Genomic DNA, 11,175 nt, shown 5'->3' with positions numbered 1-11,175 from the left:
TAGCAGGAAGTGGAACATTTCCAGAAACCCCAATAAATGTATATCTTGCCTGAACTACATCTCACAACCATCTTTAGCTGCAAGAGAGTCTGGTAACTGTAGTTTTTTCACTGGGCACACTGCCATTCCTGTAAAAATTACAATTTTCTTAATGAGGACGAAATAGAGACATGATGTTGCCTCAGCAACTAGCAGTGTACACCACACCCATCATCGCCAGGCAAAGTGTAGTGTCATGATTTCATTTGTTAGTCATCACTTTCAACATCTATTGCCATAGTAAACATAAGCCAAAATGATTAGATATCAAAAACTGATCTACCATATTATTTTGTTTTTCCAATAAGTAATAGCAGCCTTACTCATTCACCTTTGAGAAGAAGTTTATTTTATAGGCACAATTTTACATGTATTTCTATTTTGGGGTGTGGGAGTAAGTAAAGATCTGTGTCTTTGTTTGGGCTGCTGTAACCCAAAGCCATACACTAGGTAGCTTATAAACAACAGAAATTTCTTTCTAATAGTTCTGGAGGCTGGGAAGTCCAAGATCAAGGCACCAGAAATCTGGTGTCCATTGAGAACCCACTTCTTGCTTCATAGATGGCACCTTCTCTAGGGGCCAATGAGCTCTCGGGGGCCTGTTTCATAAGGGTGCTAATCCCATTCATGAAGGCAAAGCCCTCATGACCTAATTACCTCTCAAAGGCCCCATTTCCTAATACCATCACTTTGGGTATTAGGATTTCATCTTTTGAGTTTTGGAAGGTGTTAAACATTCAGTCCATTTGGATAGTAAAGTGAGCTTGAGAGGGACAAAACTCACTGGATTGTCAAAGGGGTCTTGGATTCACCTTGGGACTGCTGTGTTTCCCTGCTACACTGTCTGAGCACCTTGGCTTTACCCTTTAGAACCAAGGCCCCTCAACCCTGACTAAACCTGGAAACAATTTGAACTCAAGGCTGAAAAACAGCTTCTGAGTCAATGGGTGGCCTATTTTGGGCTCTGCCTGACTTAGCTGTCTGGCTGTGTCTGTAGGAACACTCTTGATGGCGTCATAGGCAACAAGTCAATGGTGTATTTAAACAGAGCTGGAGAAGTGCTCTATGCACTGCCTGGTTACATCATGACTCCAAGGCTCTTATCCCAGGAACTTAAATGAAATGGGCATACCAAACCGATGGACTCATTGTGGACTCAGCCTATTGCAACTATGTTACAAATTTGAACTTTTTTTTCCTTCTAGTTTTTTTTTCCTTCAAATCTTTTATTCTTTTCCTCTATTTAGGTTTTGTCTTAGAAATCTTATTAGAAATTTCAAGTTGGAAAGACTTTAAAAAGACCTTTTCCAGCTCCCCACCTGCAGGAATCCTAGGGCACCACATCCACATTTTTCAAATGTGGACACCTAAAGCTGAGACAATCATTATCTCACAAATCTGCCAGTTTTGAGTAACATGTAAGAAAGGTATTTCTTATTATTACACTGATAGCTTCAACTGGAAGATTTCATAATCTCATACCCACAGGGAAACTCTAAAATCCTATTTAACAAAATGACCAAAAAACCTGACGCACTGAGTGGGTATTACATTGCTGGCTCATCCCTTTTGCATCAGCTTTATTAATTCAGAATTATGGGATAGCTTAAGAGTCTCTATTAGAAAATTTGGAGAACTGTGTAAGAAGCATAGCAACAATTCTGTGTAAAACCTGAAGGTTTTCATGGGGTGTGAAAAAGAAAAAACTGAACAGTGTCATGTGCGTTTCTGTCACCTTTAAAATTAAATTGTCCTATGAGGACATACATCCTTATAGGGATCACTGAACATATTCTTCCTCATTTTCAACAGTGAAACAGGTTGTATCTCCTCCCTTCCTTTCTTCTTTCTAAGGCTTATGAGAATTTCAAGGAGGAGCGGTTAATCAATTTGATTTGGGATAAGGAGAGAAGACATTGTGAGATAAGGCTTGAATTACCTTTGGAGAATGAGTATTGAGTGTCTGGTTGGGTGGGATGGGAAAGATTGAATAAAGACAGATGAATAAATGCAATAATTTTTCTTGACTCTGCTTGGGTGGCTAAGTCATGATTACTCAAGCCACTATTATGCAAAGTAAATATGCAGCCTACAGGCAGCCACTAGTGTTCATACTTCTTTATCCCTTACTTTGGGGAAGGCAAAGCATTTGTTACTATTGACTCTGTATCTGCTGGTTTGAATCCACAGAGCTAGAGGCCTTTCAGGGGCTTGAACATCGCTAGATTTTTGTATCCACAGGTGGTGGTTGGGGGTGGGGAGGGTAGAGGGTGGTCCTAGAACCAATCCCCTGCAGATACCCAGGGACGCCTATATATTCACCTTGTGACCTAGTGTAATTAAATCCTAGTGTCCCTGGATGCCACCATACTAGACCCATGAAACCGAGTGAGAGATCCGGAAAAACCCTTATATCCTTATCTGTGCTTCCTAGAGCTTTCTTGGTGTGGGGAAATCCATTGCTTGTGATTACAAAGTGAGTCTTCCTTTTCAATTTAATTTTTGTTTTTGAGATGGAGTCTCGCTCTTTCGCCCAGTTTGGAGAGCAGTGGCGCAATCTCGGCTCACTGCAACCTCTGCCTCCCGGGTTCAAGTGATTCTCTTGCCTCAGCCTTCTGAGTAGCTGGGATTACAGGTGCACAACACCATGCCTGGCTAGTTTTCGTATTTTTAGTACAGACGGGGTTTCACCATGTTGCTCAGGCTTGTCTCGAACTCCTGACCTTGTGATCTGCCCACCTCAGCCTCCCAAAGTGTTGGGATTACAGGCATGAGCCACTGTGCCTGGCTCAATTTAATATTTACCCTGTTTGTAAGCCATAGTTAACCAAGGACAGGATTTGACAGCCCACAGTTCTCTCTAGGCAAGACAATTGGCCCTATTCATAAACCCTGATCTAGCAAGCTCTGCTTGGCTCTTACTATGGAAGGGAGCCTTTCCCTCCTACGACTCCTCCAAAACTGGTCAAGGTGAGACTGCCTGGTATTAAGGAGGGAAGAATATAGGCTGGCATTAAAGTGTTCTAGGAATCTGGCTACAAAACTCAGCTGTGCTCCGAGATGAATGCCCACCCAGATATTCACTATTATTGGTTCTTTGCCAGCATCAGTCCTGGGACACTCCCAGGGGTCTCTGGATTTGACTTCTGTAATCAAATCTTAACAAGCAAAAGGTCCTTTTCACTCTCAAATCCACTGGTTGTTTCCTGGGGTTTATGACTGATCTTCCTACTAGGACTGAATTATGTAACGTCATAAACCAACACTTCTCCATCCAATCTGCCGTTTCCACAAAGGAACACAAAGACCCTATGGAACCATAAAGTCTCACAGGTGAAGGTCTAGGAAAACTGTCCTGGAAAATTCCAACATGAGGGGGAGCCTGACTAGAGCCGCAAGGGTCAAAGCAGCTGTAAATCCATCAGCAAAATGAGCCATACACAAAGGGAAGGAAGAGAAGAGTCACATTTTGCTAAAAAGAGGATTCAAAAGGTTAGGTAATCCCAAAACTAGAAACTGAAATACAAAAAAAGTTAAAAGAATTAAACAACCATTAAAACAACAACAACAACAATGAATTGTAAATGAAGCTGAAGATTTGAAAGCAGAAAAGCCACTAGGCCAAAACAGCAGACATGAAAGCTAAATTCAACAGAAATAAAGGTTAAACTATTTTTGATCCAGAAAGCTGAAAGCCTAGGAAAAGCATAAGTAAAATCTGTGAGGCTTAAAAAAAAAAAAAAAAGGTAAAAATTTAAAGGTGGGAGTAAAAAAAAAATTGGCTATAGCAAACAAAATTACGTTATTATTGAAGTTCTGACGCAGGGCCAGTATTTTCTGTGTTATCTGGCAGCCTAGCAGCAGGTCTTTCATCTTCTGAGAGCGTCTGCCTGCTCTCACCCTCGCCCTCCTCACAGGTGGCCTTTCAGGACCACGAGCAACTACAGGGAACACAGCTTGGCCTCAACAAACTTCCCTGTTCCTCTATCTTGTTAAATGAATACCCCTAGAGAAGAGGTAGATGAATATGAAACATTTTCTAAAAAAGTTAAAAGTCTGTTTACCTGGTAATGGTGTACGTTTGTGAAGTCTGTTCTTTTGCACAATTCTTGATCCCACGATAATCTCATAGTATTTCGTTAGCACCATCATCAGCAAAGTATGACGTTATCATCACAGATTCCAAATTGGGTTTCACTGAAGTGAAAATTTGTGATACATTCTAAACAAGATCAGTTTAAAATTCATCTTTGAATTAGCCATGGTTTTTTTAAAAAAGAATTTGTTTACAAAGTATTCAAACAAAATAAAGTGGGTGTTTAATCCCAGATTTAAGAACTCTGACACAATTAAATACAGTGGATATAAGAACTCTTTCTTATCTATGAAAAAATTTCTAAATGACCCCTATATACACTTTAATGACCTGGTTGTATTTCAATGAAATATTAACAGTGATATGCTTTTTTAATGTCACAATCCAAACATTGTATCATTTAGCCTAGCCTTCTTTCAGTGAGGTTTCATTACTGTGTCAGTTTTTAGTCTTTTTGCTTAGTACAAGTTCTCCAAACTCACTCCAGCCTTCACCGGGAAGGCTTTCATAGATTAGCACCACTAGCTGATATCTTCTATTAGGGACATGATTCTGCTTTCCCATTTTTACTAAAATTTGCTGGTTCTCATCCTCCAGCCCCTGCGCAGTTCCTGGGACACCCAGAAATTTTCTCGTTAACCCCATACTAATTAAAATCAGGCACCTCTCAGGGTATTAAGTAGACTACAAGGCAGGTCTTGTGAACGAAATTTTTTATTTACACACTGTATCTAGAAGCAGATACATAAATTCTTATACAATTAATTTCCAAAAATGTGCAAGAAATTACTATAATTTGTTTACAAACCAAAACACGTATTAAAATCAATGGACTTTGGATAATTCATTCTGTGGTGTTCTCAGTACAAATGGTACACACCTGATTTGAAACATACAGAAAAAGTGTAAACTACCGCAATCTGAATTGCAAGTATTAATTTCATGGCACTCCAACGACTATGAAATTTCTTTCACCCAACATGTAAATACTTGTTACAAAATTCTATAAGAATTTTTCATAATCTCTGGATGTAGAGTTTGGATCACTTTTCAGAAACAGCAACTACACACTTCGCCATGTTATGACTGATTAATAAAAAGAATGTTTATAAAAACCCTTCTTTACAGGATTAAAAAAGTATTAAAAGAAACCATATTTGTGATTGCTAGTGTACCAACACTTTTAGAATTTTAAAGTTATTTACGGAACTGGCTATTGTTCCTTATTAGAGTTTTCAAGAAAACTGTCTATTGCTGGTAGTGTGATTTCATTTTGAAATTAAGACTTCGCATTTAATGAAAAGCAATTAAGATTTAAATGAAAATGTATTATTCCGATTCATTCATAAAGCAGTATCTCTCATATACAATGTGAAATGTAATTAAAACTGGCATTTCTGAAAGCATTGTTACAAAGATATTTTAGACTTGTAGCACTAGCAGAGACATTGCATTAACCTATGTTAGATTTTATAACTTTTATCCTGTTTCAGTAATACTGGCTCAAGAATTACAACGCATACTTTGGGTTTTGTTTCCTTTATGCCAATGATTTAGCCTTTTGGAACTGTTTTCTTCAACAGCAAGATGGTTGGTTGCCCCGTGTAGCTGGTTTCCTTAAAAACTATTTTTAGGTCTATGATCATTTCCTGTGACATATTTTGACCTTCTAAATTTTCAGATTATTGCACCAAGTAGAAAGAGTTTTCCTTAGACAGAAAGAGAATTAGATATTTTTCAAGTACTTTCTACAGCCTTCTTCTTATTTATAAAAATGCATAATAGTGTTATAGTAAGCCTAAAAATAGCTTCTGGCCTCCATCATATTTCGTGATGAAATATTTAATAGAAAACAATTCTGATTCATCTATTATGGCAAATGGATACAGCTTTCCTGTTTTCTTTTTCTTGCTTTGAGCTCAGATTTTTAGAAGCACGTATTTAAAAAGCACTCATAGGCTGTGTCCATGTCATCTATGTTAACTGCCAATAGAATCCTAAAATTTAACCAAATTGTGTCTAGACCAAACTAAATGATGAGTTTTCTCTCTCTCTTTTCCCTGTTTCCACTTTTAACTGGACTGTGTTAGTATCATATAAAGCCAATCTTTCACATTCTGTTGTGCTGCCTACCCCAAATGGTTATCTTTCTACACAAAAGTAGAAAATATCGCAAAACATCTTTCTGCTTGTAAATTTAACTTTTTGGCAAATAGTTTGATTTTATCATTATACTATCAGAATCTAACAATTTCAAACTAGATTAGAATAGGGCATATTAAAGTATATATTATGAATATACAAAAGCGCATCAAAATTTGGCTTTCTGAATTAGAACAGTATCAAGACTGTCCTCCACTAAAACACAAAATACAATTTTAAAAACATTTAGATGAAAATCTCAATAATCTTGACACTAAGCGGGTAGATCTTAAACACATGGCATGATGAGAAAACGAAGGGAATAGGTTATGTCCACATAAGACGGGTTCAGGGCAGTCCAAAGACCTCTGTGCACCATGATCTCACAAGGAGGACATGTAAATGCTTCTGGAGACACGGAGAAGCCATTTCAACATTTATTATTAATACACAGTGACTCTGTGACAAAACCTGCCATCTAATATAGATGCACAGGGACTTTTAACTCACCCTAGATATACTTTAAGTTGTTTTAAAAATAAATAGTTTTGCAAAAAAATAGTTTAAATGTCTTGCATTAATTTGATAACAAGCTTACAACTCTGCAATAGTTCTTAATCCAAATAGCTTATAATGAACACTTATATTATTACAGTATACTCCATATTCCATCTTATTAGGAGAAAACATATGAGAAAATGAGAGTCTTTTTAACAAGGTACAATCAACATCCCACCAAAATTAAGTACCTTTTCCCCTTTAAGTCAAAATACCATAACACCATAATATTATGGCATTGTGCCTTTTCTTGGTAATATCTCAGTTCTGACCCTAAAAAGCAAAGAGAAAAAAGTGAGGATTCAGATATGCTTGAATGACAAAGCCAGTAAGTTTGACCTAAACCTTTACCCTCATGTTTAAAGTGGGTAAGAGACTTTTCCTATCTCTTCCTTTAAGTGACAAAGGAAGAACCATCCCAAATTACATGTTTCATCTGAGATAGAAACATTTTCCTTTAAAGGTGTGTAGCTGAAAATTTTCTGGACAGGGCAATCCCAAAATACTACATCCATTGCAGAACTGTGAAATGAATAAACACTCTGCATTACAAAATAACTAAAAATTATTGAATATAACATCTCTCCCCAACAACCGACTCAAGGAGATAAAATTATTAGCAACGGCAAATTACTTAAGACTTAGCTAAATTTTAAAAACCTATTTTTAAATGGCAGTATATATGATAGACAATATGACTTCCACATTATCTAATATGGTTTAGAATTTTTCTCACATTGTGAGAAAAATTGCTCCACAATTTCCACAATTTTTAAACTAAAGTCATCACGGGTTCTCTTTATAGTGGGGGTAAGGATTGGTCAAATCCAGCACACTTTTATAGTAACTACATAGAAGAAAAATATAAATCCAACTTTAAAACAATGTTTTCTTTCTATTCAAATCAATTTAAAACTTTTTATAAACATTAATGTTGCAAGAGAATCCAGTCCATTTATGAAAATTAGTTGACAATCAAGTTCACCCAAGAAAATGTTGACTAAGCTAAAGAAATCACAGATAAAACATTTTACCAAAAGGATAGGTAACACACAAAAAAATGCTATCACAGGAAGCTATGATCATCTAATATTTCTTTAATAATAATTCTAGTTCCATAGGTTTTCATGTTATGCCAATTTGTACCCGAGTTTAATTACAGAAAAGGCAACAATTTCTAAATTGGTGGTATACATTTCTTTACAATTTTTTAATGTAAGGCCATTTATTAAAATAGACAAACTAGAAGATGAAAACGAAGGCAACAGAAAAATTCAACTTTTCACAACCAAAAGAATTAGCACAACCTTAGAAATAATTTAGAAAAAAGTGTTGTTAAAAGATATGTTGCAGATCTCCGTTCCATTACCCAAGATTATGTCAATTCACGATTCTAAATAAATCTTTTTAAAGTAAGAGATTAAAAACTCATCTTCAGTGTATATGTAAATTCTGTGTTTTATCACACAGGTATGTTTATTCAACACTGTCTTTTGAAAATGGACCATTTAAAAAGACATAGCAATTTCCATTCTGTTAAGTTTCATTCAACTTTACTTAGGGTTGAATACACATGAAATGTGCTTTTAATGCATAAAAATCACAGTGGATAGCAGCAAAGGACTGGGCGGGGGGGGCATTGAGGAGAATTTGATAATTCACATTGTGATTATTCTGCACATTGATGAAACATAATTCACACCTCTAAAACCTCAAGACTTCCCTTTTTTAAAGAACCAAAATAAACCCAAGACACCTTGCTGACACTTCCCCACCCCTAAACAAACTGATGACTCTTTTACACATAAAACTGAAATAGTTATGGCAGCAAAAGATTTTGATGGCAATGAAAGTTTGTAAACTGTATTTCAATCTCTTGTTCTTATTCCCAAAGTGCAAGATGCAGGGTTCTCAATCTTTCAGTAGTGCTTCTCCTGTAAATAATCCTTCATTTTGTTTGGCAAAGGCAGTTTCTGAATTAAGTCTATTCTGGTATACTGACGTATAACAAAACGACACAGGTACTGCAACGAGCGCACCTGCATGAACCGGGACACTGGGTTGGTCAGTCTGACGGGGTAAGTTGCAGATCCAGGCAGCCGAGACCTTGAATAACAAAAAGCTCCATTTTCAGAGTCCCTGATTGAATGCTCAATTAGATCAACTATGGACGTATGTCCTTCCACATCTGGCTGTTCATAAAAGCTAAACCTACCATTTGAGTGCTCAATTCTAGTGTGAAGTGTTTTACCATGGGAGCGAAAGCTCAAGCTTAAAAGGTAACGGTCGTCAGAACTGTCCCGAACAAGAAAAGAACCATCTGGCACGTTTGCTAGCTTCCCTTCTGCCTCCCAACGTGTGATTGGTCCCCAGTACCATCCTTGCTTTGCAAGTTTTTTCAGCTCCTCTGTAAGGCTTGTCACAACCATGGGACCACTACTTTGCACTGAGTCATAAACTCTTGCAACCCCAGGAGCAGAGTTCGGATCAAAATTCAAATGACAGCGCATACTTTCAGCCACGTGGGCTTCTGTGCCAGTGAGTCCACTGAAGTTCCTTTGGATTTGATTATTCTGCATTGGAGGTAGCAATGGTGAGAGTGGAGGGACATCATCGTGACCCGCTCTCGGGCTCTGCAACATGACTCCCGTGGTGCCAATCAACAAGCCATTCACGGACTGATCCACGAAGATCTCTGGGGCGACAACTAGGTCCTGGTCTACCTGACTCTCATCCTCGGGGAAAGCGCGCCCTCCCACTTGAGGAGGAACCGCAGAGACTTCCATGGGAGAAGAGCTGTCCAGACAATAGCTCCGTGATCCTTCCAAAGGATACATCCCCTCATCTAAAGGCACAGTATACTGAATGTAGTCCTGAGGCATAAGTCCAATAACGACAGGCACATGTTCATCCAGGTGAAGATGCAGGTCTCCATTATGAGAAGCCGAGCTCTTCAGTGAATTGGCTTGCTCCTGGCACGTGGTCTCAGACTGGAGGTCGTGGAAATCCTTCCGGACGCCATTCAGGGCTGGACTCGGGCTGGAAGAGTGAACCAAGGCCTTGACTCTCACCTCCATCTTGATGCAGGTCTCCTCGGAGTTTGTGGGCCGCAGAGGCCACGGCGCGGGACTGTAGTGATGGCTGCGGAGCGACGTGGACCTTATCGGCCTCTGAGCTCTCACGTCTTTAAAGACTATGGGTGCTGAGGAGGAGGAGAAGGTGTCCTCGTCGGCAGAGCTCCCAGAGGGTGTGCCCGCCTTGCCTTTTGACTTCTGTTTTGCAGAAAGCCGCCTTTTTAGCGTACCCATCAGGCTCTCGCTTTTTGATCTGTTTTTTCCGCCTTTTTCATCTTCACCGTTGATATCGCAGCTGGCCATATCTTTACCATAGCAGCTACCAAATAAGGAATCATCTTTTCCAAAGTCACTGGCTAGCGATGGTTGTTGTACTACCATGAAATCAGTTTCTTCTTTACTTTTATTCAAGTTAAAAGATTTCCGTAAGGTTTTAAGACTAATTTTCTTCATTATGACTAGTTACCTAATCCAAGGGATCAATATTTCTATCTGGAATATTATCCCCAAACATCTGGAGAGGCTGCAAGGCTGCATCTATGTATTTTTCCTGCTTCATTTAACCTTTGGAGCCATTTTCTAAAAAATAAAAATATAAAAAGAGTCATATTAAAAAATATTTCCACAAAAGTTTTGTTTTAGTCAGTTTTAATCCTTTAACTTCTGAACGAGAACACCCCAGTCTTTTCTTAATGTCAGCTCTGTTAGGACCGGGCTTTCTTTCTATTGCACCCAGCAGAGCAGATCACTGCCTACTACACAATGAGCATTTGGCAAGTATTTGATGATGTTTACTTTATTATTATTATTATTATTATTTTGAGATGAGTCTCACTCTTTCGCCCAGGCTGGAGTGCAGTGGCGTGATCTCGGCTCACTGCAAGCTCTGCCTCCTGGGTTCACGCCATTCTCCTGCCTCAGCCTCCCAAGTAGCTGGGACTACAGACGCCCACCACCACACTCAGCTAAGTTTTTTGTATTTTAATAGAGACGGGGTTTCATCGTGTTAGCCAGGATGGTCTCGATCTCTTGACCTTATGATCCGCCCGCCTCGGCCTCCCAAAGTGCTGGGATTACAGGCTGAGCTACCATGCCCCGCCCGATGATGTTTATAAAGAACAAGCCTGCATCTACCTTTTGTTCTTTTGGCACCTTGCTTTTTGGTATAAACTCTAACGTGTGGGCCAGTGTCCACATCCTTCCCAGCTGGACTCTAGCTAGACCTGTGCACTCCTTCAGCACTGACTCCGACTGCTCCTCCGCTGC

The 11,175-nt window shown here is 38.9% G+C and overlaps 1 protein-coding gene across 10 annotated transcripts in view; it reads right to left on the bottom strand.

Annotated features, from left to right (window-relative positions):
- Window positions 1–4,831: 4,831 nt before the first annotated feature.
- SOCS6 (suppressor of cytokine signaling 6) overlaps window positions 4,832–11,175 on the bottom strand; it is a 41,155-nt gene continuing 34,811 nt past the window's right edge. For all 10 annotated transcript variants that reach the window (XM_017026087.2, XM_047437940.1, NM_004232.4 and 7 more), the window contains exon 2: window positions 4,832–10,488. In XM_017026087.2, coding sequence (XP_016881576.1) covers window positions 8,755–10,362 — 1,608 coding nt within the window. In that variant the 5' untranslated portion in view covers window positions 10,363–10,488 and the 3' untranslated portion in view covers window positions 4,832–8,754. The remainder of the gene's footprint in view (window positions 10,489–11,175) is intronic.

Source organism: Homo sapiens, chromosome 18 (assembly GCF_000001405.40).
Source record: "Homo sapiens chromosome 18, GRCh38.p14 Primary Assembly".
Classification (NCBI taxonomy): Eukaryota; Metazoa; Chordata; class Mammalia; order Primates; family Hominidae; genus Homo; species Homo sapiens.
This window is presented reverse-complemented; position numbering and strand designations above follow the sequence as displayed.